Source organism: Homo sapiens, chromosome 20 (genome assembly GCF_000001405.40).
Source record: "Homo sapiens chromosome 20, GRCh38.p14 Primary Assembly".
In the NCBI taxonomy this organism is placed as follows: domain Eukaryota; kingdom Metazoa; phylum Chordata; class Mammalia; order Primates; family Hominidae; genus Homo; species Homo sapiens.
Window position 1 is genome coordinate 63,033,955 of NC_000020.11, and position 27,924 is coordinate 63,061,878.

Below are 27,924 nucleotides of genomic sequence, written 5' to 3' on the forward strand. Positions count from 1 at the left end.
TCTTGGGTCACGGGTGATGGATGATGGAGGAACAGGCCCAGGAGGCCCTGCTTGCTGGGGGCTTCTTTCCTCTTGCGTAGTCACCCTGTGGGGGGCTCTCAAACTCACAGAGTTTGGCCGTAGGGAAGTGCAGGGGTGGCCTGGGAGGCTGCAGGCTCTGGGACAGCCTGGCTCACACAGGAGATGGGATGGCGCTGAGAGGAGACCCCGGGGCGCCCAGCGTCTCAGGCTATAAGGAGCAGCCACTCATTGTGACACCCGATGGTGAAATGCTGCATTATTATTTATGGTGTTGAATAATCACAGCACAATCATTGCAGGCCACAGGGCAGAAAGTGCTAATGTAGTTTAAAAACAGTACATTTGAATCTGGACACTGGCAAGAAAATAGGCAAAATAAATACTTTTGTCCACCCCTCCCTACCCTCTTTTGGTGACTTGGGGTGGCCTGGGTCGGTGCTCAGCCCAGGGTCCCGCGGCCAGAGCCAACCATGGCGCGCCTGGTCTCCTCCAGATAAACGCGCGCCCACGTCTCTGCTGGGCTTTGGAATTAGCTCAATACTCATTCAGACGCAGAGTGCGTGTGCCCTGCCAGGACAGACGTCATTGCTGTGCGGTGCTTGAGTGCCATCAATAAGCCACAGAAGAGAAATCCGGAAACAAGGGACGCGCAGCGTGATTCCGTGCCACGGCGTCAGGAGCGGCATGTAGCATCTTTTGGTTTGAGAGTAAAATTCCGCAATCAGAAATGAAATCCGAGCAAAGAAGCAAAGCGCACAGAGGCTGGAGACGCTAAAGCATCCAGGCAGGACTCCGCCAGGTGGGCAGGCAGAGGCCTGTGCACAGGCAGACGGTGTGCCCGTGAGCAGGACATGCTTGTAGGGTCACAGGTCACCCACCCGCAGGACACGCATGCAAGGTCACGGGTCAGCCACCAGCAGGACACGCATGCAGGGTCACGGGTCAGCCACCCACAGGACACGCATGCAGGGTCACGGGTCAGCCACCCGCAGGACACGCATGCAGGGTCACGGGTCAGCCACCCGCAGGACACGCATGCAGGGTCACGGGTCAGCCACCCGCAGGACACGCATGCAGGGTCAGGGGTCAGCCACCCGCAGGACACGCATGCAGGGTCACGGGTCAGCCACCAGCAGGACACGCATGCAGGGTCACGGGTCAGCCACCAGCAGGACACGCATGCAGGGTCACGGGTCAGCCACCCGCAGGACACGCATGCAGGGTCACGGGTCAGCCACCAGCAGGACATGCACACCCATGTGTGCACATGGGTAGGTGTGCTCGACCCACACATGTTGTGCCATCACCCCATCCTTGTCCTTGGAGAAAGGGCTATTGGCCATCGTGACGGGGAGCCTCTCAGCTGCGACTGGGCCCTGGGAGCCATGGAGTCTTCTGGCCGCCTCTCCTGGCCACCAACCAGGAACCCCAGGCCCCAGGCCCACGGTTGCATCTGCTGTGCCATCCTGTGGACAAACGGACGATCCAATCCAGATGGCACTGCAGGGGACTGAACGGGGCTCTGAAACCCGGCCGGAGCTGCCCTCAGGCCACCCTCCTCACCTTGAGCCATTCCCCTGCTCCGTCACCTGTGTCAGGCCTGGGTGCCGCCAGGAGGCCTCCTTCCAGCTCTCTGCAAGCTGGCCCCGTGTTCACGGGCATCCAGCGGGATCCACCATGGAAAGACAGCTTTCTCAGAGGCATCTCAGCACGTGGGCCCAGCCAGAACCTCGAGGGCTTCTGTCCCTGGAGGGCAGGGCAGAGCGGGAGGACACAGGGACACAGAGAAGGTATCAGCTGGCGAGGGCAGGGCAGAGCAGGAGGACACGGGGACACAGAGAAGATGGCAGCTGGCTGAGGGCAGGGCAGAGCAGGAGGACACAGGGACACAGAGAAGGTGGCAGCTGACTCGGCGGGAGCGGAAGGTGCTGCTTTCTTCGAGGTCCCCCTCTTTGCGGCTCACCCTTCTCCCTCTATGGCCCCCTTAACCCCAACCCCCCTCGGCTGCCTCTCTGAGTAAAGGACAGGCCAGCGCCGAGCAGGTATGTCCCCTGCCAGGGTCCCCCGCACACCTGGATCTTCTAGGCTGGGGAGTAGTGGAAGGATCTGCGGGGCTCTCGAAGCCGTCTGGGAGGAACGTCAATGACCAGAGGAAGGAACAAGGGTTTCGGGTGGGATTGGCCAATTCCCTGGGTCATCTCAGAACCACGAGCTTGTCTTCCTGGGTTACAGGGTCCTGAGCTTGGCCGAAAAGGGACAAACGAAGGGCCGGGTGTGATGACCCTGCATAGGTTTGACAGCCCTGTGTCCTTCCAAATCAAGTGAGTGGGTCTGGGTCCCCGGCCCCCTCCAGCCTGGGGTCCAAGCCTCCCTGGTCTCCTCGGGCAGTCAGCCTCTCTGCTCCAGTGCCGTCAGTTGTCACCTACGTGGGTAAAACGCCAGGAGAGGCTGGATCCCCAGCTCACCGGCCTGTGGCCCGGGCATCCTGGGCTTGCAGAGGGAGGGCCGAGGGTGGTAACTAGGAGGAGTGGCTCTGAGCCGGGGAGGGAACACGGCCAGAGGGGGATGAAGGCCACACGGAGCACCGCGGGAGCCCCGCCGTCTGCGCAGGGTTCAGCCTTTCAGCCTCGATGTGGGAAGTCTCTCCATCTGTTCAGGTTTTCTTTGGGTCTTTTTACCAGCCATGTTTCGCAGTTTGCAGCGTACAAGTCTCACACTTCCTTTGCGAAATTATTCCTAAGTAGCTTATTCTTTCTGATGCTATTTGACCAGGACGCTTTCTGCATTTCATCTTGGGGTGTTCACTGTCAGTGCAGAAATATCCTACGCCCCATGATCTTGTTAAACTCCTTCGATCATCTTATCAGGTTTTACTTCATTTTATTTTATCTTTGTAGATTCCTTAGGCGATTCCACCTACGGCGTGAGGCGTACTTCTACATCTTTTTTGCTAATCTCGGTGATTTGAGTTCCATGTTCTTGCCTCACTGCCCTGGCTGGAACCCGCTGTGCAGTGTGGGAGGAGCGGGAGGGGAGGGTCCCCTTGACTTGCTCCCTTCCGTGGGGAGACGGTCAGGCTTTCCCCAGGAAGCGTGCTGTAGGTTTCCATAGATTCGAGACGGTCAGGCTTTCCCCAGGAAGCGTGCTGTAGGTTTCCATAGATTCCATTGCTAGGTTGAGGAGGTTCACTCTCATTTCTGGTTTGTTGAAAGTTTTTTTTTAATTATAAATGGGTGTCAGATTTTGTCAAATGGATTTTCTATATCAGTTGGGATGATCATGTGGCTTTTGTCCTTTATTTTATTAATATGATTTATTACATTAATTGAGTTCTGGCTGTTAAACCAATCTTTCAGTCCTGGGAAATATCCCACTTGATCATGGTGTACAGTATTATCTTTTTAAAATAAATTGTTGGATTTGGCCAGGCACGGTGGCTCATGCCTGTAATCCCAGCCCTTTGGGAGGCCAAGGTGGGAGGATGGCTTGAGCCCGGGAGGTCGAGGCTGCAGTGAGCCGAGATCGTGCCATTGCCTGGGTGACAGAGTGAGACCCTGTTTCAAAATAAATAAATAAATAGTCGAATTTGGTTTGCTAAGTTAAAAAAATTAAGTAAGTGTCCCGCTCAGCAGCATTAATTACATTCACGATGTTGTGTCACCATCACCACCAGCTACATCCCCAACTCCAAACAGAAACCCTGTCTCCATGAATAACAACTACCCATTCCTCTCCACCCCCAGCCTCTCTTAACCTAGAATGTACTTTCTGTCTGTGAATTAGGCTCTTCTAGATATCTGATGCAAGTAGAATCATACAACATTTGTCCTTTTGTTTCTGGCTTATGTCACTCAGCACAATGCTTCCGAGGTCGCTCAGCAGGGGGCTTCCGAGGTCGCTCAGCACGGGGCTTCCGGGGTCGCTCAGCACGGGGCTTCCGGGGTCGCTCAGCACGGGGCTTCCGGGGTCGCTCAGCACGGCACTTCCGAGGTCGCTCAGCACGGGGCTTCCGAGGTCACTCAGCATAGTGCTTCCGAGGTCGCTCAGCACAGCGCTTCCAAAGTTATTTACCTGGTAGCGAGTGTCAGACTTCCTTCATTTTTCTGGCTGAATCCTATTCCCATGGGTGGATGGACCGCATTTTGTCCTCCATTCATCTGCTGGGGGCAACTGTGCTGTTTCCACCTTTCAGCCATTGTGAGTAACGCTGGTATGGGAGCCTAAGTGTCTGTTTGGGTGTTTGTCTTCATTCTTCCGGACCTACCCTTGGGAGTGGAATTGCTGGATCGTAAGGCAGTTCGGTGTTCCACTATTTGAGGAGCTGCCAAATCGTCTCCCACGGTGGCTGCTCCATTTTACATTCCCGCCATCAATTCCAACTTCTCCACATCCTCTCTGAGGCTTGTTATTTTATTTTTATTTATTTATTTTTTTGAGACAGGGTCTCACTCTGTTGCCCAGGCTGGAGTGCAGTGGTCCAATCTCAGCTCACTGCAACCTCCACCTCCCGGGTTCAAGCGATTCTCCTGCCTTAGCCTCTCGAGTAGCTGGGATTACAAGCGCATGCCACCACACCCAACTAATTTTTTGTTTTTTGGAGAGCAGCCGTCCTATCGCATGTGAGGTGGTGTCTCTGTGGTTTTGATTCACATTTCCCTAGTGACCAGTGAGTGCTGTTGAGCATCTTTTCATGTGCTTATTGGCCATTTTATATCTTATTTGGAGAAACATCTATTCGAGTCCTTTGCCTATTTTTAAATGGAATTTTTTTGTTGTTGAAGTGTAGCAGTTCTTTATAAATCCTGGGTATTAAAACCCTTATCAGATATATGATTTGCAAATATTTTCTCCCACTCTGTGGTTGACGTTTCACTTTCTTTTTTTTTTTTTTTTTTCGTTTTTGAGAAGGAGTCTCGCTCTGTCACCCAAGCTGGAGTGCAGTGGCGGGATCTCGGCTCACCGCAAGCTCCGCCTCCCGGGTTCGCGCCATTCTTCTGCCTCAGCCTCCCGAGTAGCTGGGACCACAGGCGCCTGCCACCACGCCCGGCTAATTTTTTGTATTTTTAGTAGAGACGGGGTTTCACTGTGTTAGCCAGGATGGTCTCGATCTCCTGACCTCGTGATCCGCCCGCCTCGGCCTCCCAAAGTGCTGGGATGACAGGCATGAGCCACTGCGCCCGGCTGACGTTTCACTTTCTTGATAGTGTCTTTTAATGCAGAACAACTTTAATTTTGATGAATCCAATTTATCTGTTTTCTGTTAAAAAAATTTTTTTTTTTTTGAGACAGAGTCTCAATCTGTCCCCCAGGCTGGAGTGCAGTGGTGCGATCCTGGCTCACTACAACCTTTGCCTCCTAGGTTCAAGCGATTCTCCTGCCTCAGCCTCTAGAGTAGCTGGGATTACAGGTACCCACTATCATGCCTGGCTAATTTTTTTATTTTTAGCGGAGACAGGGTTTTGCCATGTTGGCCAGGCTGGTCTTGAACTCCTGACCTCAGGTGATCCTCCTGCCTCAGCCTCCCAAAGTGCTGGGATTACAGGCGTGAGCCACCATGCCTGGCCCTGTCTTTTTTCTTTTGTTGCCTATGCTTTCTGTGCCATTTACCATTGCCATGTTGAAGGTCGTGATAATTTGCCCCTATGTTTTCTTCTAAGCGTTTTATAGTTTTAGCTCTTACATTTAGGTCTTTGATCCATTTCATGTTAATTTTTGTATATGTTGTAAGATAAATGTCCAACTTCATTGTTTTGCATGTGTAAATACCTTTTTCCCAGCATCGTTTGTTGAGGAGGCTGCCCTTTCCTCACTGGTGTTGGTCCCTTATTGAAAGTCAATGGACCATGTATATGGGGGTTCATATGGGGGTTCTCTGTTCTACTCCATTGGCCTCTACATCCATCCTTTTACCAGCAGCACATTATCTTGATGACTGTAGCTTTATGAGTAAGTTTTGAAATCAGAAAACGTGAGTTCTCCAAGTTTGTTCTTCGTTTTCAAGATCGTTTGGGCTATTTAGGGTTCCGGAAGTTCTATATGAATTTTAGGATAAAGGTTTTCAATTTTTGCAAAAATTGCTGTTGGGATTTTGATAAGGATGACGTTGAATCTGTGGATTGTTTTGAGTAGTACTCTCATCTTAACAACAGTAAGTCCTCCAGTCTGTGAACACGGGTGACTTTCCATTTATTTGTGTCTTCTTAATTTCTTTCATCAACGTCTTGTAGTTTTCAGCATACAAGTCTTTTTCCTCCTGGGTTGAATTTATTCCTAAGCATCTGATTCGTTTCGATGCTATCGTAAGTGGGGTTCTTTTCTTTTCGGATTGCTCATTGCTAGTGTCCAGCTGACTTCTAAGTAATGATTTTGTACCCTGAATCTTTGCTGAGTTCATTTATTAGGTTTAACAGTTTTTTTTTTTTTTAATGGTTCTCTGGGCTTTTCTACATGGTGCATATCATCTGCAAATACGTGCCATTTTAGTTCTTCCTTTCCAACTTGGATACCTTTTGTTCCTTTTTCTTGCCTAATTGCTCTGGCTAAAACTCCCAGTATTGTGTTGAATAGAAGTGGCAAAAGCAGGCATCCTTGTCTTTTTCCTGATCTTGGGGAGAAGCTTTCAGTCTCGTACCATTGACTGTAATGTCAGTTGTGGGTTTTTCATAGATGACTTGATTTACTAAATTTTACTAAGGATATTTTGGTTTACGTTCATGAGGGATAATATCTTATAGTCTGTTCGTGTCTTTGCCTGGCTTTGATACCAGAGTAATTCTGGTTTCATAGAATGAATTAGAAAGTGTTTCCTCATCCTCTACCTTCTGAGGATTTTGTGTGAGATTGCTGTTATTTCTTCTGTAAATATGTGATGGAGTTTACTAGTGAAGCCAGTGCTATTTGGGCATTAATTTCTTTACTTGTTGTGGGTGTCTTCAGGTTTTCTCTTTCTTCCTGAACTCATTTTGGTAATTTGTGTCATTCTAGGAATTTGTCCATTTCATCTAAGTTGTCAAACGGTTGGCATAAAATGGTTCATAATGCTCCTTTATAATCCTTTTAATTTCAATAGGATCAGTAGCAGTGTTCTCTCTTTTATTCCTGATTTTAGTAATTTGTGTCTTCTCTCTTTTTTTCATGGGCATTCTTGCTAAACATTTATCCACTTTGTTGATTTTTTTCAAAAAATCAAGTTTGATGCTGCTGGTTTTCTGTATCGGCTTTCTGTTTTCTGCTGCACTGCTGTTCACTCTGGTCTTTTATATTATCTTCCTTCTGCTTGGTTGGGGTTGGATTTGTTCTTCTTTTTCTTGTTTCTTTTGGTGGAAGATTATATTATTGATTATATTATTGATATAATATGATTATATTATTGACCTTTTTGCCTTTGAAATATGGGTATTTAAAGTTATGAATTTCCTGCTTTAGCTAGATCTCATGCGTTTTGGTATGTTGTGGTTTTGTTTTCATAAGTTCAAATTATTTTCTAATTTTCTTTTTTGTGATTTCTTTTTTGACTCATGGGTTATTTAGAAATGTGTTGTTTAGCTCTCAAATATCAACTTATTTCTCCAGTTTATTTTTATTTTTATTTTTTGAAATGGAGTCTGGCTCTGTTGCCCAGGCTGAATGAAATGCAGTGGTGTGATCTCAGCTCACTGTAACCTCTGCCTCTCAGGTTCAAGTGATTCTCCTGCCTTAGCCTCCTGTGCAGCTGGGATTACAGGCACATGCCATAATGCCCAGCTAATTTTTGTATTTTTAGTAGAGATGGGGTTTCACCATGTTGGCCAGGCCGGTCTCGAACTCCTGACCTCAGGTGATCCACCCACCTTGGCCTCCCACAGCACTAGGATTACAGGCACGGGCCACCGTGCCTGGCTATTTCTGTTCTTGGTTTCTAATTTAATTCCATTGTATTAGAGAACATACCTTGTACGATTTAAATACTTTTAAATGAGTGAGACTTGCTCTGGGTCTAGCCTACGGGCTCTCCTGAAAAGTGTGGCACTGCTGCTGAGTGCTGTCATCATGGGGAGCGATCTATAAATAAGAGTTTGGGTAAGTTGGTTGACAGTGCTGTTAAAGTCTTCTGTGTCCTTACTGGTACTCTGTGTAGATGCTTTATTCGTTATGGAGAATGGGCATCGCAATCTCTCATGATAATTATTGAATAATATATTTCTCTTTTCAGTTCTGTCTCATTTTACTTCATATATTTTGGAGTTCTCTTGTTAGGCATGTATATACATTTATGTCTTTCTGTCAATATTGACCCTTTTATCCTTATAAAATGTCCTCTGTCTCTAGTATTTTTTTCCTTGAAGTCTATTTTGTCAGATGGAATATCTGTGTTCCACCTCTGTTGCAGTTGTTATTTGCATCATGTGTATTTTTCTGTCCTTTTGCTTTCAGTGTATTTGCATCTTGAAATTTAAAGCATGTCTCTTATAGATGGCATGCAGTTGGGCCTGGAGTAGTTTATCCAGTCCAATAATTTCTGCCACCCGACAGTGTTGTTGTTGGTTTAGTGGCATTTTTGTCTCTGACGTTTTGTTCCTTGCTTTCTACATGTCTCGTGTCTTTTTTGTTTCTGTTCCTCCTTTACTGCCTTCTTTTGTGTTAAGCAAATATATCTCAGTTACCCTGTTAGCTAATTCTGCTGCCGATTGTGTTAATTGTTAACCATGTTTTGAGTTGTGTTCTTAGTGATTCTCCAGGAAACCAGTATATATCTTAATGTATTACAATCTACATCAGGTGAATACTGACTTAATTCCAGTAAAATGTCACCTCTGATCCAGGACAGAGCCGTTCCCGCCTGAATTGTGACTGCACACCCAGTTTGTCCCTGTGTCCCTCTAGCCTGAGGGTGGCGTTGGCTTCCTGTAGTTGAGACTTTCCGAGTTGCTCCTCATCCCCATGGGGACCTTCTCACACCTCTTCAACCGGCATCCCATATCGAACCCCTGGGTATGTGCTGTTTTCTCCCATGGACTCCAATGGGTGCAGGCATCTCCACCTGCTGTGGCCCTGACCCTCCCCTTCCTCTCGATGTTCATGGGGCATTTAGGGGCTTCGTCTGGGGATGGATTAAAGGGCCTGGGCTCCTGGGGAGGAGCTCCCCTGTTCTCCCGGGCTTTCCTCGGTCTCCCACTCCCCTCACCCTTTGTGGATTTTCCTGGGGGATTTTACTTTATTAAACGTTCATGAGCAGATATTCTGCTGCCAGGAAAGAAAAGCAATGACCAGAGATTCGGCTGTGAAAAAAAGAAAATGGAGGGGTTGGGACACCATATCATTCATAGGACCCCTTCATTCCAAAGCTCAGCATTGGGCTGAGGCCTGGGCGGAGGGCAATGGAGAGGTGCAGCGTGGGGGCTGAGTGCGGCTTGGCTGGGTCCCCACCGGTGGCCACGGCACCTGCAAGGCCACAGGGACCCCATGCGGGGAATCCGTGGGCCTCTGTCGTGAACTGCAGCCAGGGACCCTGAAGGGCTCGGGCAGCTGGGGTGCTCTCTGCTTCTGCTGCACGCCTGGCTGGTGCCTGAGCAGCTCTGCGATGCGCATCATGGTCGGGGCTGTTTTGGGGCCGTTTCCAACACCAGCAGCGTCGTGGCTCCACAGCAGCAAGGCTTCCTGAAGGAAGAAGGGGGCTTCGCAGTATAGTTCGAGTCGGGCTCTGTTTCTTTCCATCCCAAACACATAGAGACGACCAAGGCCCTGATCCCAAAAGAAGAACCCAGGCTGCCGGCGATCCTGGGGACAACGATGTTAACTCAGGGACAGGCGCAGTCTCTGGACCAGGCCAGGTCGTGGTGCACACACTCGATCTCTGCAGCGTTTCCCACATGGGCACTGCGGACCGGGAATGTCAGGGGAACGCGGGCACCGTGGACCGGGAATGCCAGGGGATCGTGGGCACCGCCGACCGGGAATGTCAGGGGAACACGGGCACTGCCGACCGGGAATGTCAGGGGAACGGGGGCACTGCAGACCGGGAATGTCAGGGGAACGTGGGCACTGCGGACCGGGAATGTCAGGGGAACGTGGGCACGGCTGACCGGGAATGTCAGGGGAACGCGGGCACGGCCGACCGGGAATGTCAGGGGAACGTGGGCACTGTGGACCGGGAATGTCAGGGGAACGCGGGCACGGCTGACCGGGAATGCCAGGGGAACGCGGGCACTGCGGACCGGGAATGCCAGGGGAACACGGGCACTGCCGACCGGGAATGTCAGGGGAACGTGGGCACGGCCGACCGGGAATGCCAGGGGAACACGGGCACTGTGGACCGGGAATGTCAGGGGATCATGGGCACTGTGGACTGGGAATGCCAGGGGAACACGGGCACGGCGGACCGGGAATGTCAGGGGAACGCAGGCACGGCTGACCGGGAATGTCAGGGGATCGCGGGCACTGCCGACCGGGAATGTCGGGAACGCAGGCACTGCGGACCGGGAATGTCAGCAGAACGGGGGCACTGCGGACCGGGAATGTCAGGGCAAGAGGGAAGTTGTTTGCTAGCTTGTCATATGTTTAGCTAATTATTTAATTTCCCTAATTTAAAGTTTCACCGGATTAACATCAAAACAAAAATCTTGTGATTGCAGCATCATAAAGCAATAATGTAATTAACTTGTTTAGGGTAACTTACTAACTTGGCTGATTGCAAGGCATGGGGTCTGGGGGCACCACACTTGAGGTGGTCGGGGCGCTTGTCAGGCCCAGGCTCCTGGCCTCAGCGCGGCGCCCAGCTCCCGGTGCACAGGGCTCCCAGGCCCCGGTGAGGATCAGGCCACTGTGCCGCCTCAGGGAGTGGGTGCCGGCCTCACCCCCAGGGCTGGGGCTCTCACTCAGGCTGCGGGCAGGCATCTCCTTGGCCCAGAAGCTCTGACCTTGGCCACAGTTGGGTTTTGAGCACGCAGCCCAGCAGAAATGCCGTTCCGAAGCCGTGCAGGCTGTGCAGGCCGGGACACCCTGCTAACCAGGAGTGGAATTGAGAACAGGATTTCTCTACACCACGAGTTCCTCCCAGAACTCTGGAACAGATTCCAATGTTGTTTGAAAAGTTACCAAACCCTGTTTGATCAGCATCCATTGCTGAGAGAGCAGCTTTCTCTCTTCCCCTTTTCCTCCTCCCCTCTCCCACCTCAGCTTCCACAGAGGTGGCGTGCATGGCGGGAACCGTCTGTCCTATCGGAGCCTGGAGACCCTGGGTCTTTCCCTTCAGCAGCTTCCACAGAGGTGGCCTGCATGGCGGGAACCCTCTGTCCTATCGGAGCCTGGAGACCCCAGGTCTTTCCCTTCAGCAGCTTCCACAGAGGTGGCGTGCATGGCGGGAACCCTCTGTCCTATCGGAGCCTGGAGACCCCGGGTCCTTCCCTTCAGAAATCCCTGCCATCTGGTTTTGAGACTGGCTTTGGGGGACAGTGGCCCTGGTGGGGATTCGGGCATGAAAGGCCCCCTGTTGAGGTCGAGCCTGGCAGCATGGGGGGACTCGCTCGTCTTCGTGGTGGGCCTCACAGACACAGCCATCTGGGCACACAAGAGCATTCTGGCCGTGCATGTGTGCAAATGAGAACCGTGTGCTTCAGAAACAGACTGGAGCGTGTGGGGACAGACGGGAACTCACACACACGTGAGCTGCCCCAGGCCCAGCAGACACTGAACGTGAGGTGGCTTGCTACAGCCAGTGGGCAGAAGGGGCAGGTTTTGGTGTTGGGAACCCAGTCCCCGAGGCTGAGAAACTGCCCACAAACCTCCTGCTGTTCTTTGAAGTGAGGGGTTCATTTTGCGTGGAGCCCGGAGCACAGAGCAGGCCCCATACCACCAGGCAAAGCCCACCTGGCTCACCTGCTCCCTAGCCCCGAGATGGTTTCAGGATGAGGCAGTGTGGTCAATTTGGAGAAAAATCATAAAACCAATTCAAGCCTGGCTGCCCAGGTTTTGGGATCCACCAACTGGGCTGCTTTTTCTCAATTTTAGCCACATCGCCCTCAGTTCGAGGAAGTACTTCCCATGAGCTTGTGCTATGGTGTGAATGTTTGTGTCCCTCCAAAATTCACACTGAAACGTCATCCCCAGTGCCATAGTACGGAGCCTTCGGGAGGTCAGTAGGCCGGGAAGGCTCTGCCCTCACCAATAGATTAGTGCCAGTAGATACAAGGGCGGGAGGGATGAGTCCGTTCCTTCTCTCCCTTCTGCCATGTGAGGACACAGCACCGCTCCCCTCCAGAGGACACGGCAGCAAGGCACCATCGCAGAAGCCAGGAGCCGCTGTCCCCAGACTCGAGGCTGCAGTGCCTTGGTCTTGCACTTCCTGGCTTCCAGAACTGCGTGAAATACATTTCAATGCTTTATAAATGACCCAATCACAGGTGTTCTGTTACAGCAGCACAAACACACTAAGACAGCTTGGTAGAATTTTCTAGAAGCTATCTGCTGATTAAACAACAGGGAAAAGGTGGAGTCTGAGAGGGAGTAGTGTGTGAAGGGGCCCTGCTGGGAGAGGTTTTGGGAATCTGTGGGCGGCTTTATAGTTCTTGGCACTTTCATTTTCCTCTTGGGGGTCGGTTTGGTCTAGGTTCCCCCAGTGCCAACTCTGACCTAATGGGGGTTGGGTTTATCTGACAGGTGATTGCAGGAGGAGAGGGATGGAGGAAAACAGTGCCCAGGCTGGGACAAAGGGGGCTCGGCTCTACCGGCATTTATCCACCATCCCATCTCTCGGTGCGTTGACGCCCTGGGGAGCTCACCCCCAGGCAGAAGAGCACAGGTGCCTGGTGTGTTCGTGAAGCATCCTCAGAACCTGGGGGGGTGTCTAGGGTCCTCAGAACCTGGCATGGAGGGGGGTGTCTAGGGTGGGCTGAAGGGCATGCACAGCATCTCCCTTTAGGAGGAGGAAGCACCTGCCATCCAGCAACCCGCCGTGAGCGCCGTACTGCACAGTCCTCCCTCACCTCTCCGAGGACAGACTCTCCTGCAACTGAGGAGCTGGATGTCTGCCTTTTCTTACATTCTACATCTACCCTCCCTTTCTGAGTGGTGTCAGATCCTCGGCTTGGGAAGAAAATGCAGGCTGTGGTCTCTCAGACAGCTCTTCATGGTGACACATTTGCTCGGCACCTGCTGTGTCCCCAGATCAATGCCAGTGGCCTGGGGTCAGAGGGCAGGTGCACGATTTGGGTCCAGTTTTTCCCAGTGGGTCATATGTGGATCTGGGGCAAGAACCACCACCCAAGAGGACGCTACTGGCATGCAGCCCTGAGCATTTTTCTGTTTTTCTTTCTCAGCTTTACATGTTCAGGGTGTAGTCAGATGGCTGTGTGCAACTGCAGTTCACTTTCAAAGCTGTGTATCTGTTTTGCGAATGTGCCGCCGTTTCTTTACCTGCTCATTGGCTGGTTTTGTGGATGTGCTACCATCTCATTGGTCAGTTTTGTGAATGTGCTGCTGTCTATTTACCTGCTCATTGGTCGGTTTTGTGGATGTGCTACCATCTCATTGGTCAGTTTTGTGAATGTGCCACTATCTATTTACCTGCTCATTGGTCGGTTTTGTGGATGTGCCGCCGTCTCATTGGTTGGTGGCATTTGCGTGGTCCTCAGCTTTGGGTTGTTTTAGACTCAGCTTCCTGAACACTCTTGTCCGGGTCTCTCATCTTCTGAACACTCTTGTCCAGGTCTCGCATCTTTCACTTTGGCTGTTCTGTGGGTGTGTCGTGCGTCTCATTGTTTGATGACTGAATCGCCATTATAATAGCATGAAGGTGCAGCTCACAAGCGTCCACACAGGCGAATTCACGTGGTGGCTCCAGAGGAATGTTGGCCTTGCAGAGTCTTGGCATCTCCGTGGCTTCCCATGAGCCTGCGAGAATGCTGGGCCTGTGATGGTGACAGCGAGTCTTCCCTGTCCTCAGGGGTGCGGCCTTCACCTTGGAAACATCATTTGTCCCCCTCTGTTTGGGTTCAAGTCAGGTTCAGTGACTCACTAGAAAGACAGACCTGAGAAACGCAGTTCTAGTCCCGATTATGGTTTATTAAAACAAAAAGACGCGTTAAACTCAGTGAAGAGGAGACGCTTGTGGAGCAGTCATGGGCGGCAGGCATGAGCTGCTGGGAGTGCTCTCCCGTGGAGCTGTATACACAGCACTGTTTCTCCCAGCAGCCAGCCCGGGAGGCTCGCCTGAGCTTTGGTGGCCATGGTTTTTACTGGGGCTCAGTCATGTAGACTTGGAGTCCCTGTGTGGCTGACCCTAGTTACTCAGTCTCAAGCTGACCCTGTGTGGCCCCAACCTGAAATCCCATCATTTCCTTAGACTACCCAACGTGGCCCAAAGCCCCCAAAATACAATGTTCTAATGGCTCAGGATGGCTTCCCAGGTGCTCGTTAATTGCTGGACTTTTATTTGGAATGTGTGGGGTGTGGGCAGCCCAGGCCTGCTGAGCTCACCGTCACTGCACGCCCTCTGATGTGGCCTGGCTCCAGGCTGTTGGCAATCTGACCCTCACTCCTGGGGTTTCCACAACTGTGAGTTCCCTGGCGGGCCCCTGAGGGAAGTTCTAGAGAAGAAAGAGGAACACAGGATCAGCCTCAGGCTCTGGGAGGAGAACTGGACCCCATTGTTTGGGCTTGGACAGCTGTCCAATTGCTCAGGACCTGGGTGCTGGGTGGAGGCCTCATCAGCAAGTGTCCTGACTCCACGGGTGGAGGGATCTCACACTGCCCACCACAGTGGCAGCCTCAGAGTAAGCACGAGCCTCTCGCCCTCCATGCGTGTATAAACAACATGGCTGGTGGGTGCCTAGGCCCCCAGGGAGGCCCCTGGTATGAGGCCAGCGGAGGGGGCGGGTAGGGAGGAGCCCTCTCTCTTGCACTTAGGTCTCTGGAGTGACAGGGATGGCCCTGCCCCACTGACCCAGGCGTTCACCCCAGAGAAGCGTGCAGGCAGGTGAGAAGCTTGTTTGGACCTGAAGACCAGCCTGAGCGAGGAGAGTCTTGTGCAGACGGTTTATCCAGGAGGAGCCCGGGGAGAGGGGGGTGGGAAAAGCCACAGTTTTGGAGGTCAGCAAGGTCATGTGGGGGCAGACTCCTCCTCCTCCTCCTCTTCCTCCTCCTCCTCTTCCTCCTCCTCCTCTTCCTCTTCCTCCTCCTCCTCCTCTTCCTCCTCCTCCTCCTCTTCCTCCCTCCTCTTCCTCCTCCTCCTCTTCCTCCTCCTCTTCCTCCTCCTCCTCCTCTTCCTCCCCTCCTCCTCCTCTTCCTCCTCCTCCTCTTCCTCTCCTCCTCCTCCTCCTCTTCCTCCTCCTCCTCCTCTTCCTCCCCTCCTCCTCCTCTTCCTCCTCGTCCTCTTCCTCCTTCTGCCAGGACCCTTCTTCCAGGACCCCTGAGAAGCGCATAGAATAGCGTCCAGGACTGTCTGCCCCAGGCACGCTGACCACTGGCTCCACTCCCCTGGGCAAGGGTCGCCCCTGGGCTGCTGCCTCCCAGCGACACAGGCAGGACCCAGAAGCCTGGTAGAAAGTGACCATGTGTGGCAGGTACAAGAGGCCGAGTGCGGTCAACTTGAAGGGACAGGAAGCCTGCAGGCAGTGACCACTCTCTAGGCTGTGCTCAGAGGAGAGGCCAAGGGGACACAGGCACCAGGGCCGTGGGACACACCTGGGCTACCCCAGCTCCTATCAGGCAAGCACCTGGAGCCTCACTGTGGAGGGGAGACTGTGGCCGCCGGGGCGAGGGTGACACAGGGACACCTGCTGGAGAGGGGAACCCAGGGCTGGCTCATCCACTGCGGCCATAAAACTTCAGCTTTTCCTGGATGGTCACTGTGCTTGGCCAGAGGTCACTGGTGGGACCAGACTCTGGCCAGGCTTTGAGACATACGTGCCTTTCCGTGTGGTAGGCCTGACCTTGGAAGGGGAGGCCAAGACCTCCACCCCCTCCCCTCCGCCCTGGCCTGCGCTGCTGGGAAGTGGATTTGGAGGCTCTGTTGCTCTCTGCACAGCCCCTCCTGGCCTGGCGGCCCTTCTGGAGCCTGGGAGCAGAGGTGAGGCTGGCATGGGCACGAAATGTGGAAATGCTCCACGCCCCCAGGGCTTGCAGGGGAAGCGACCGACGTAGGTGTGTGGCCCTCAGGGACAGCCCCGGGAAGGGAAGTGGCCGATGTAGGTGTGTGGCCCTCAGGGACACTCCCAGGAAGGGACTGGGCTGCAGAGGACCCGCTCAGGGAAGCCCGGCCCAGGGCAGGGCAGGTGCTGACCCTCTGCATCTCTGCCCATGGTGTTTCCCCCACCTGGAGTGCCCTGGCCAGTGGCTCAAATCCTCCATGGCCTCGAGCCTCCCCTTTAGGTTCCAATGCCGTGCTCCACACAGGGTGCTGTGTCCAGTGTCACTGAGTGAATGGGAGAGTACATGAGGGATACCATCGAGGGGAGTCTCTGCTGGGCCCCACCTGCTCCCCAACCACACACTCCCCCAGACATTCCTCTATCGAGGGCAGTCTCCCCCAGGTCCTACACAGTCCCCCAGCCATTCCTCTATGGAGGGCAGTCTCCCCCAGGCCCTATACAGTCCCCCAGCCATTCCTCTATCGAGGGCAGTCTCCCCCGGGCCCCACACGCCCCCGCAGCCATTCCTCTATCGAGGGCAGTCTCGCCCGGGCCCCACACGCTCCCCTAGACATTCTTCTGGGCCCCGGGGCATCTGTGTGGCTGCTGGGACCCCCACAGGGGTGGCGGGTGTGGCTGCCCCTGAGAATCATGCTCTGTAGTGTCCCGCCCCTGGTGCAGAGAATCATGCTCTGTAGTGTCCTGCCCCTCGTGCAGAGTATTATGCTCTGTAGTGTCCCTCCCCTGGTGCAGAGGATCATGCTCTGTAGTGTCCTGCCCCTGGTGCAGAGAATCATGCTCTGTAGTGTTCTCCCTGGTGCAGAGAATCATGCTCTGTAGTGTCCTCCCCGGTGCAGAGAATCATGCTCTGTAGTGTCCTCACCCCGGTGCAGAGAATCATGCTCTGTAGTGTCCTCCCCGGTGCAGAGAATCATGCTCTGTAGTGTCCTCCCCCCGGTGCAGAGAATCATGCTCTGTAGTGTCCTGCCCCCAGTGCAGAGAATCATGCTCTGTAGTGTCCTCCCCCCGGTGCAGAGAATCATGCTCTGTAGTGTCCTCCCTGGTGCAGAGAATCATGCTCTGTAGTGTCCTCCCCCCAGTGCAGAGAATCATGCTCTGTAGTGTTCTCCCCCCAGTGCAGAGAATCATGCTCTGTAGTGTTCTCTCCCCAGTGCAGAGAATCATGCTCTGTAGTGTCCTCCCCCCGGTGCAGAGAATCATGCTCTGTAGTGTCCTCCCCCTGGTGCAGGATCCGGAGGGGCTGCCAGGCCAGGCTCTCAGGGAAGGTCTGCGGATGCCCAAGTGCCTGCACACCTCTGAGGGCCCGTGGCAAGTGTAGAAAGCAAGCTCTGGGCAGGGCTGGCTGCTGCCAGCCTCCCACCTCCTTGGTTCCTCCTTTGTCCTGCAGGCTTGTCTCTTCCAGTCTTAACAATGCTGCTCTCAAAAGTCTGAAGCCATAGAATCCCTTCGAACAGCTGATTCCTCTGGAGAATCCAAAAACATAACTCAATTCCCAAAATTTAACTTTTTATACAACTTGCAGGACTTGATGTGGCGTATGGAGCACTGACCGTCCATGTGGCAGGACTCAGAGGACGCGGGCAACACAGTGCCCAGGACAGAGAGGCCACAGAGGAGCAAACGGGCAGGCCGAGGACAGTCAAGACCAAGGGGTGCCAGGCAGGGTGTGGGCTTCTTGGGCCCACAATGACGGGCCCTCCATCGGGATCCTGTGGGGCAGGCCAGGGGCAGGGGCAGGTGGCCTCATAAGCCCTTGAGGAAGGTGCAGGGGGAGTTGCTCCCACTCCATGGCTGGGGGACAAGGGGAATTGCATTTCCAAGGGGGCTGAGCCAAGCATCCTCAAAGGCGGCAGTTTTGGAGCGAGTTGGCACCATAAGCACAGAAGACAGCAAACGTTAGACCCTCTCCCAACTGTGGCGGCCTGGAGGGAGCTCATGCCACCTCTTCTCGAAGGGAGCGCCCTATGACCTCCTCAGGTGAAAAGACAGAGGGCAGTGCTGGCAAGGGCACCCCAGACCGCCCCCACCACAGGTCGGGGAGATGCTGCAGGTGCCTACAGGACACTCAGCTTGCAGTCATGGGAGGTCACCGCCACCCCCCTGCGGGGCCTCCTGAGAACTGAGGCCAACAGAGCGCCCTGCATGCCCAGAAATGCAACATGCTCTCCCTTCCTTCCCCTGCAGGACCCCTCTTCAGTCACTCACTCCCTTCCTTCCCCTGCAGGACCCCTCTTCAGTCACTCATTTTGGGGCAATTGAAGGCTTTATTTGGAAAAGACATACCAAATTTCCTCAGCTGAGCAGATTTTTAAGTAGCAAATTATTATCAACCCGAACTGGGAGGCCAAGTCGTCTGTAGACCCTGTGAGGAGCTGGGAGGTCACTTCCCTTTCCTCTGGGTGGAAGGGGACGCCTGAGAGCCAGGGGCAGAGGAAGAGGCAGAAAGGAGGGAGGGGACAGGGAGAGAAACTGCAGGTGGACAGACAGGCAGGGCCTGGAGTCCTGGAGCTCAGAGGGGACAGGAGCCCACCCACAGGGACAGCCCAACTCTGTCTTGTCTTTTTGCAAAATGCTCAAGCTCAAAGCCCGGCTGAGGCTGCTTTAAATTAGATGCTGCCTCAGCGGGTCCCTCTGGAGTTGTTGGAAATCTAATTAGCCAGGCAGCCTGGCACAAATGTCCTAATTCCCTGACGCTGGGGGACGCGAGTGTCTCTTTGCTGCTGGGGTTCCCGGCCTCAGCCTGGCCTTTGCACTCTGCTTGTTTTCCAGGATGATGCCTATCAGAAACCCTAATTGTTTTTTCAGAAACGGCTAATTAATTAGGCTCAGCCTCTTGAAAGGCACTTAAAATACTAACGACTTGCTAAAAAAGGGCAGGACTTGAAAGCAAAGCCAAGGTCCAAAGTGCCCACCAGCGTGAGGGGTCTGCTGCCTCCCTGCGGGGAAGCCCTGGCAGAGCCCCTTGCTTTGCTGCTCACAGAGTCCAGGACATGAGAGCCGAGCCCATGCACCAGTGACTCACGCCCCGGCACAGATGAGCCCAGAGCCCGGAACAGAGGCCGTAGCAAGACCCCGGGAGCCCAGCCTCCCCTACCCCTCCAGCCCCGCTCTGGGCCCCAGGAGGCTGACCTCCATGGATGTCCCAGCAATCTGTCTCTGGCCTCTGGGTGGGTGTGGCCAATGGAGTCATCCGGGACACGGAGGTGGGAAGGGACTGGGCCCTCCTTATCAGGTCTGAGGGTCAGGGGCCCTACATCTGCTTGTCCCTGTTCTCAGCGCCAGGCTCACCTCATCCCCTGCCCCTTGTCAGAGCTCCTTCTTTGACCCTCCCCAGGGGTCCAGCTCACTTGTTTGTTAGTGACCTCATCACAGACAAGTTCTCAGCCCTCCCATGGGGCGGTCGGTCCTTCAGGCACTGGAAATACAGCGGTGGACACAGTGGTGGACCTCCCGGTATGTCCTCTGTTCGACTGAACAGTCGGGTTGCGGGGCCTCCAGGAGCTCTGTGAGCCCGTGCTCAGGTGCACACAACAGAAGTACTCCGCTGACGCCCACCCCTTTCACTCAGCTCTCGGTTCAGTCATCGCCAAGCAACTGAGAGCCTTTGTGAAGAGGCTTCCTGCCCTCTTCATCTTCCACAGACACGCTCTTCTTCCTTAAGCCCAGGCATACACAGACACAGTGAATGCACACACAAAGACACACACCAGTGTGCACACTGCTCTGGAATCCACAGGTTCTATAAATATCTAGAAATGATATCTGAAAGTGCATTGTTATATGCGCTGGTCTGTGATGGTTACGGTGATGGTGATTCCTCCTTCCGGAGGATGGCGCGGCTGCAGCCAGAGGGAGATTAGGTGGCGGAGGCTTCGATGACCATTTACATTTTACGAGTACTTATTTTGAGTGTGTATTTGGAAAAATTAAATTTGTATATCAAGCCCATGATTTCACAGATATTTTTGCTTAGGTCAAAGGCTAAAACAGGTATTTAAATCAATTCGTTTATTTAACTTAAAGAAAAATATGACGGGTTAAGGTTGGGCTTCCCCAGAAGTAGATCCCGAAGCAGGAATGGGAGGTGTCCCAGCGTGGCGGCGAGTTACTTCAAACTGGGTGGCTTTAAGTAACGAGGATTCATTCCATCTCCGTTCTGGAGCTGGACATCTGAAAGCAAGCTCTGGGCAGGGCTGGCTCCTGTGGAGGCTCTGGGAGGGGGTGTGGTTTCTTCCTGGTCCCTTCCAGCTTCTGGTGGCTCCAGGCCTTCCTTGGTGTCCCCGGCTTGCAGCCGCATCACTCCAATCTCTGCCTCTGTTTTCCGTGGCGTTTTTCTCCAAATCTACCTGTCTCAGCTTCTCCATCTCTTATGAGGGCACCCTTCATGGGATTTGAGGCCCACTCTAATCCATGATCCTTACCCTAATTACATCTGCAAAGACCTTATTCCAAATAAGGCCACATTCTGTGGTTATGGGTGGACATATTTGGGGGCCCTGTTCATCCTACTTAAGGAGGGAAAGTTGTTTATTTTGGAGGTGACTCTGAGAGCACAGCAGCAGGTGAGTGGGAGGTGAGATGCCCAGTGACCAGGGCGGCCATCAGGCAGGCCACGGCCAGGCTTCTGGGCTCAGCCTCACCAGGTCCTCAGCTGCCCAGGGCTTTCTCACCCAGGACCTGCCTGGAGACTGCTCCGGGGCCATCAAGTCCCCGGCATGTCAGCCCACCCTGGCCAGAAACAGCCTGGTCAAGGGGCACAGGGCTGTGGAGTTGGGGTGCCCAGGAAGGGGAGAACCAGCGGGGTCCATGGGCCAGGAGAGTCCAGCCTTGAAGATGGGGGTGTGAACCACACAGTCACGGTCTCAAAGGCACAGAGCTTTGAAAGCAAGGTAGTAGCTCCTCAAGCCCTCTGGGCACGCCCCACCAGGGTTTGTGTGTGGAGTTAATAGGGGGCAGTTCCAGGAGCACACCAGAGGGGCCGGGGCAGCCGGAGGGGCCAGGGCAGTGGAGGGCTGGGCAGCTGGGGCCCAACCCCAGTGGGGACTGAGAGGCCTCGTGACTGCTGCCTCAGATCCACCTCTGAAGGGCGGGAAGCCTGGGCTCTCCCTGTCCCCCACAAACCAGGGCTGGGGTGTAGCTGGGGGGTGTGGAGTGAGGCTGGTGAGAGGTGCCCGACGGGAGAAGGGCCCCGGTCCAGCAGCTTTCCCTGATCAACCAAGGGGGATCTATTTTGTTTGTAAAAAGCTGATTATCATAGATAAATGTGTCTAATTAGTCTCATTTGCTGACACACAAGCCTTTAATTGCAAGTTGAATAATTAGACATATCTGCATATGTAAATGATACAGTTATACCCTATGTCAGTCTTTAACGTGATTCCTCCAGAGACAAATAATTCTATTTCAGGAGAGAATATGATATATTAATTTACATAGACAAACAACTTTATTTAGAACCAGCAACTCTCGTGTTTGTTTACATAAAGTAATAACTCGAGAAATGGGAAAGATCGATGTTGCAGCAACATCTGGAGGCTCCTAACCTGCAGGGGAGTCCCTGGCAGCCTCCCACGGGAGCTGGGTCTTCCTCCGCCCTCCTGGGGCCCCAGTCCTCCCACGTGGACAGCAGCTCTGGGCCTGGGGGTGGGCTGGGGCCCAGGCCATGGGGTCTCCCTCCCCTCTTCCCCCTCCACCCTCCCTCATGCCATGCTTCCTCCTCTGCCCCTTGTCCTCGCTGGGTGGCAGGATGGGTGAGATGCCCGGTGGCCCTGCAGGCCTGCAGCTGGCCCAGTGCATGTGGGTGTCCCCTCTCCATGGCTGTGCCCTGCATGCTGGCAGAGCTGCCAGGGGCAGCTTGGAGCAGGAGCAGCTGGAGCTTGGGTCCTGATTCAGGCAGTGCTACAGCCGGCTCCCTGCCAGGCCCTGGGTCAGCTGCCCACCTCCCCAGTGGGTGTCATGCTCAGCAGCCTCAGGACAGGGCTGGGGGGCTGGCTGGTGCCGCCTGCCTCTGTCAGGCCCCCGGCCTCCACTCTGGCTGAGTACATCGTCTCCTCTCTGAGCTGGGCAGGGCAGCCACTGGCGACCCCTGGCATCCTCCGGGTCTGACTGGCGGGGACAGGGCTGCGAAAGCATTTGGAGGCCTGACCTGGAAGGAGGAATGAGGGGCCAGCTGAGGGCGTCCCAGGCAGAGCCAGGCTTGCGATGCCCAGGGTGCCCGGGGCACAGAGTGGCCCGGCCGCTCCCACACCCCTTCCCCCTTCCCTGGGCCCGTGGTCACATGGGTTTCGCTGGGAGGCAGAGCGTGAGGAATTTGGCTCTGGTGGAATGAGGACGGCTGCACTCCCTGCTTTGCAGAGGGCCCGCACAGCAGCCCGTCACTGTGGCAACCGGCTCCGTGATGCTGGCAGGAGCTGACATCGTCCCAATTCGCCCCTGTGGTCCCTTTTGGTCCCCCTCCCCTCGACCGCCAGGAGCCGCTGTGGATCGAGTTGGCCAGCAGAGGGCAGCAGAGGGCTGGCGGGGCTGGCGGGGCTGGCGGGGCTGGCGGGGCTGGCAGTGGACGCCACACTTTGGGGTCTCCAGGCCCCCAAGTCTTCTGGGGAAAGCAGCAGACAGGCGACAGCCACAGGGATGGGGAGGCGCCATCACTACTGCAACCACTGGGGGTAGCCCTTGGCCCGTCTGGGGGCATTTCATCTTTGGCAGAGCTGAGGGGTCCAGCACGTGGGCCTCTAAGGAGGGGTCTCCCGCCCACCGCCCCCAGTGCTACTGTGACCGCGGCGGCTCGGCCCCGCCTGCACTCCCAGGTTCTCACTCATGCAGTCACTCACTCATTCGCTCGCTCATTCACTCGCTCATTCACTCATTCATTCACTCGCTCATTCACTCATTCACTCATTCACACACACTCATTTGTTCACTCATTCCTTCACTCAATCATTTACACACTCATTTGTTCACTCATTCATTCACATACTTATTTGTTCACTTATTCATTCCTTCATTCACTCATTCATTCACACATACTCATTTGTTCACTCATTTCCTTATTCACTCATTCACACATGCACTCATTTGTTCACTCCTTTTTTCATTCATTCATTCACACACACTCATTTGTTCACTCATTCATTCACTTATTCACATACACTCACGCATTTGTTCAGTCACTCATTCCTTCATTCACTCACTCATTCACACACACTCATTTGTTCACTCACCCATTCACACACACTCATTTGTACACTCACACACAATCATTTGTTTACTCACTCATTCACATTCACTCATTCATGCACACACTTACTGATTCATGCACACACTTATTTGTTCACTCACTCTTGTTCACTCATTCATTTCTTTCACTCATTCACTCACACACATTCACTCATTCATGGACACACTGATTCATACACACAGTTGTTCACTCACTCATTGCTTCATTCACTCGTTCACTCACATTCATTCACACATTCATTTGATCAGTCATTCATTCATGCAATCATTTGTTCACTCATTCCTTCACTCATTCATTCACACACTCATTTGTTCACTCCTTTCTTCACTCATTCATTCACACACTCATTTGTTCACTCATTCCTTCACTCAATCATTCACACACTCATTTGTTCACTCACTCATTCCTTCATTCACTCATTCACACACTCATTTGTTCACTCGCTAATTCAATCATTCATTCACACACACTCATTTGTTTACTCACTCATTTGTTCACCCACTCATTCCTTTAGTCACTCATTCATTCACACACTCACTTGTTTGCTCACTCATTCCTTCACACACATGCACTCACTTGTTCACTCACTCATCCACACACATTCATTAATTTATTTACACACACTCACTCACTCATTTGTTTACTCAGTCACTCCTTTGTACACAGGGAAAGAGTAAGGTACCTTTCCCTCCTGTTCAGCTGCTGCCAGAAGCAGTGTCCAGTTCTCCTGGTCTAAGCAGGACTCAAGGTCCTGCAGCAGCTCAGCAGCCCCTGGAGCTGCAGCGTCTCCTTTGTTCTCTCTGAAGGGGGCATGCCTTGGCCCCAACATTCTTGTCCTTCATTTTTTGAAGTTTCTTCCCCCTCTCTCCTGGCTAATCTCATATCTTAACTACCAATATAAGACAAAATATTTCTGTGACTTTCTTTCCAATTCAATAAATCCATCTGGTGAGAAGAGAAAAAAATGCAAGAAGAGAAGAGGCAATGCCGCACCCCAAACCCTGTCAGTCACTCACACTGAGGACATTTTCACGAGGCGTTAATGGGTGATGTTTGAATTCTGGTTGCCAGCACAGATCAGGGCAAAGCTCTTGTAAAACTCTATTAAAGTCTGTGGATCCAGCTGAGACACAGGGCTGGGAAACAAAGTTAACTGTTCTCCCTCCTGAGCGGCTTGTGGTTCAGGAAACACCCCCAAGCCCCTGCCTTGGGGGATCTGTGGGTGAGAGGGAAGCATATTTGGATACAGCTTCAAGAGAGAGGTCCGACTGCTCTGTGTGTACACGTGTGTGTGGATTGCCCTGTGTGCACCAGCTCTGTGAGTGCCTGCATGGGAGTGTGTACACACCTGTGCTCTGTGTGCATCCTCAAACACACCACACCAACAGGGGTCTGGCATTGCCTCCCTACGGTGCTCATGGTGAAGTCCTCGGACTCCAAGCCCCTCTTCTGCGCCAGCAGTGACCAGGCTGTGGTCAGCATGGCCTGTTGGTGGCCTTTGACTTCCTCTGTTGGCAGATGGCTTGAGGCCCCCCAGTTCAGGGCCACAGGTGACTTCCCCCTTTCCCAGGTGGTGGGGCCCTGTAGGCTTGACCAGCCCCAGGCTCCAGAGCGCACAGAGGTGGCTGTCCACAGAGCGCGGGAGGCATGGGAGGGTGTGCTGCTGCCTGCTGGTCATCCAGCTCCTCGCCCATTAAGGAGCCCGCTTTCCCCTTTGGGAGGCCACAGGGGCTGGCGAAGGCCCTTCAGCTGTGGCTCAGGTGGGCTGGGCACCACTGCAGGAGAAGCCTCCTCCAGATGGGAGGAGGTAGGAGGTGCCTCCTCCAGATGGGAGGAGGTAGGAGGTGCCTCCTCCAGGATCAACCCCAGCTCCTTAGCACCAGCGAACAGACACAGTAGACACACGCAGGAACAAGCACATGTCCCAGGCTGCACCGTCTGTGTCTTTCCCTTTTTGGGGTCCTTGCATTTCACCCTTACCTGGTTCTGGATTCAGCTTTTAAGGGCACACTGATTGGCAGCCAGGCCACTGTGAGCGCTGGCTCCAAATGTCCTTTTGTTTTGTTTTGTTTTGTTTTGTTTTTTGAGATGGAATCTCTGTCTGTCATCCAGCCTGGAGTGCAGTGGTATGATCTTCGCTCACCTCAACCTCCGTCTCCCGGTTTGAGTAATTCTCGTGCCTTAGCCTCCCCAGTAGCTGGGATTACAGGTGTGCACCACCATGCCCAGCTAGTTTTTTTGTATTTCTAGTAGAGACGGGTTTTCACCATGTTGGCCAGGCTGCTCTGGAACTCTTGGCCTCAAGTGATCTGCCCACCTCAATCTCCCACAGTGCTGGGATTATAGGTGTGAGCCACTGCGCCCGGCTTCCAAATGTCCTTGACAACGGCCACAGCATAGCCTGCAGCCAAGGGGCGAGGGCTGATCGCGAGGGCCTGTGGTCATTCCTCCACCTTCGGTGCCCTGCCTGGGCACCCCCGTGCAGCTACCACGTGGGGAAGGCACTTGGCCTCTTCCCTCATCTGCAGACTCAGCCAACTTCTGGGGCTCCCTCGGCAGTTGGGGCTAACTCAGTGGGTCAGGTGGACCCCGGCTGTGCGTGCAGCCCCCGAGAGGGTCAGCAGGGGCGCGGAGGCCCCCTTGGCTCTGCTTTGTTCTGCCTGCGGCTCCGGTTGGTTTGTGATATCTTTGATTCCATCTCTTGCCCCCATGTGACCCCATCGTCTGCCTGGCCGGGGGCTCCCTTGTTGGAGTGTGGGGCGAGCCCCCACCCGTGTGGGAAGAGGAGAAGGCCAGGCTCTAAGCCCCACTCAGCTCCTCGTCCTCGGAGGGGTCCTGGCCCTAAGAGGGCTTGTTGGGGTCACGCAAGCTCACAATGGCTGTGGTCCTCAGCAGGTGGGACAATCGGGCTGTTTTCCGATGGTGTTTGGCAGAAAGTGGGAGTCAAAGCTTAGAAAAGCCCTGACAGAAATGGTTCCCTGAGGCTGGCGGGAGAGTGGCACTCGGGATATTAAAACAGCGAAGTCGGTCCTGGCCAATTATCAGCCAGCTGGCCTTGCTCCGGCGCCCAGAGCTCACAGGGTGAGTCACCATCTGCGGCTGAGCATCCCTGTTCAGTGAGGGAGACAGATCCTGTCCTGGTCCCTCCTCCCAGCTGTTTGTGGCCTCCCTCCTCAGGCTGCCTGGGAAGCTGTTTCAGAACCTTCCAGTCCCCTCCTGGCTGGCCCTGGGGCTCTGTGGAAGTCCTGCTTCCCCCAGCAGTGCCTGGCCCTTTGTCCCCGACCCAGGAAAAGGTGAAGTGGGGGTACTTCCTGTGCATGACACGCCCCCTTCCCTTCTCCCAGCCTCCTGCCTCGGGGCTCTGGCAAGAAAGAGGGCCTGAGCTGCAGGAGAAGGGCTTCCTTGAGCAGGAAGAAGCCCTGGCCCAGGGCAGGGTGCCCGGAAGGCGGAAGGATCCCAGCCCAAGCCACAGCCCCACCAGATGGGTGGGGGCCTTCATCACAAGAAAGATCAGAGAGTTGCCCTCTGAAGCCTTCGCAGTGGCCCTGACACAGGCTGCCAGGGATCCGTCACTCAAGGGAAGGCCCTGGGGGTGGGGGGCTCTGGCAGGGGTGACCACAGTGGTTAGGGGCCTGGGTGAGAAAAGGGACCCCTGATGTCCCATCAGGGCCGGGAGGGGAACTGGAGGACCTCCTGGCACTCCCTGGCCCCTCCTCTGGTGCCTAGCACCTTCCAGTGCTTTTCCCAAGAGGAAGGGAGAGCCTGGTTTCATTACTAAGCCCTCCATGTCCTGTCCGTGTCCGTGTCCTGTTTGTGTCTGCGTCCTGTCTGTGTCCATGTCCTGTCTGTGTCCGTGTCCTGTCCGTGTCCTGTCTGTGTCCTGTCCGTGTCCTGTCCATGTCCACGTCCTGTCTGTGTCCTCTCCGTGTCCGTGTCCTGTCCGTGTCTGTGTCCATGTCCTATTCATGTCCGTGTCCTGTCCGTGTCCTGCCTGTGTCCGTGTCTGTGTCCTGTCCGTGTCCTGTCTGTGTCCGTGTCCTGTCCATATCTGTGTCCGTGTCCTGTCCATATCTGTGTCCGTGTCCGAGTCCGTGTCTGTGTCTGTGTCCATGTCCATGTCCTGTGTCCGCGTCTGTGTCTGTGTCCATGTCCATGTCCTGTCTGTGTCCATGTCTATGTCCTGTCCGTGTCCTGTCAGTGTCCTGTCTATGTCTTGTCCATAACCTGTCTGTGTCCGTGTCCTGTCCATGTCTGTGTCCTGTCTGTGTCCTGTCTGTGTCCGTGTCCTGTCCATGTCCATGTCCTGTCCGTGTCTATGTCTTGTCTGTGTCCATGTCCTGTCCATGTCTGTGTCCGAGTCCTGTCCATGTCCATGTCCATGTCCTGTCCGTGTCTGTGTCCATGTCCGTGTCCTGTCCGTGTCTGTGTCTGTGTCTTGTCCATGTCCGTGTCCTGTCCATGTCCTGTCTGTGTCCGTGTCCTGTCCATGTCCGTGTCCTGTCCGTGTCCGTGTCCATGTCCATGTCCTGTCCATGTCCGTGT

At 54.0% G+C, this 27,924-nt stretch overlaps 2 long non-coding RNA genes across 2 annotated transcripts, besides 5 other annotated features; one reads left to right on the forward strand and one right to left on the reverse strand.

Moving 5' to 3' along the window:
- Window positions 132-856: an enhancer, noted in NCBI's record as "H3K27ac-H3K4me1 hESC enhancer chr20:61665438-61666162 (GRCh37/hg19 assembly coordinates)". NCBI's record gives its function as "activates a minimal SCP1, AML or CMV promoter by ChIP-STARR-seq in naive H9 embryonic stem cells {active_cell/tissue: H9 hESC(naive)}" and the evidence as "EXISTENCE:reporter gene assay evidence [ECO:0000049][PMID:30033119]".
- On the reverse strand, window positions 263-3,074 carry LINC00029 (long intergenic non-protein coding RNA 29). Its single transcript, NR_028295.1, has 4 exons — window positions 2,094-3,074; window positions 1,611-1,767; window positions 1,329-1,487; window positions 263-714 (listed from the first exon to the last, which is right to left on the reverse strand). It is a non-coding gene; the product is annotated as a long intergenic non-protein coding RNA 29 (long non-coding RNA).
- Window positions 857-1,580: an enhancer, noted in NCBI's record as "H3K27ac-H3K4me1 hESC enhancer chr20:61666163-61666886 (GRCh37/hg19 assembly coordinates)". NCBI's record gives its function as "activates a minimal SCP1, AML or CMV promoter by ChIP-STARR-seq in naive H9 embryonic stem cells {active_cell/tissue: H9 hESC(naive)}" and the evidence as "EXISTENCE:reporter gene assay evidence [ECO:0000049][PMID:30033119]".
- A 982-nt stretch (window positions 3,075-4,056) lies between the features above and the next one.
- Window positions 4,057-19,909, forward strand: LINC01056 (long intergenic non-protein coding RNA 1056). The gene is made up of 6 exons (NR_033369.1): window positions 4,057-4,231; window positions 14,902-14,971; window positions 15,558-15,702; window positions 17,668-17,797; window positions 18,951-19,312; window positions 19,558-19,909. It is a non-coding gene; the product is annotated as a long intergenic non-protein coding RNA 1056 (long non-coding RNA).
- Window positions 22,488-22,688: a silencer, noted in NCBI's record as "fragment chr20:61687794-61687994 (GRCh37/hg19 assembly coordinates)". NCBI's record gives its function as "represses an EF-1alpha promoter that drives an FKBP-Casp9 reporter gene in an ReSE screen in phorbol 12-myristate 13-acetate-treated (for megakaryocytic differentiation) K562 erythroleukemia cells {active_cell/tissue: K562(+PMA)}" and the evidence as "EXISTENCE:reporter gene assay evidence [ECO:0000049][PMID:32094911]".
- Window positions 25,648-26,490: an enhancer, noted in NCBI's record as "H3K4me1 hESC enhancer chr20:61690954-61691796 (GRCh37/hg19 assembly coordinates)". NCBI's record gives its function as "activates a minimal SCP1, AML or CMV promoter by ChIP-STARR-seq in naive H9 embryonic stem cells {active_cell/tissue: H9 hESC(naive)}" and the evidence as "EXISTENCE:reporter gene assay evidence [ECO:0000049][PMID:30033119]".
- Window positions 26,491-27,332: an enhancer, noted in NCBI's record as "H3K4me1 hESC enhancer chr20:61691797-61692638 (GRCh37/hg19 assembly coordinates)". NCBI's record gives its function as "activates a minimal SCP1, AML or CMV promoter by ChIP-STARR-seq in primed H9 embryonic stem cells {active_cell/tissue: H9 hESC(primed)}" and the evidence as "EXISTENCE:reporter gene assay evidence [ECO:0000049][PMID:30033119]".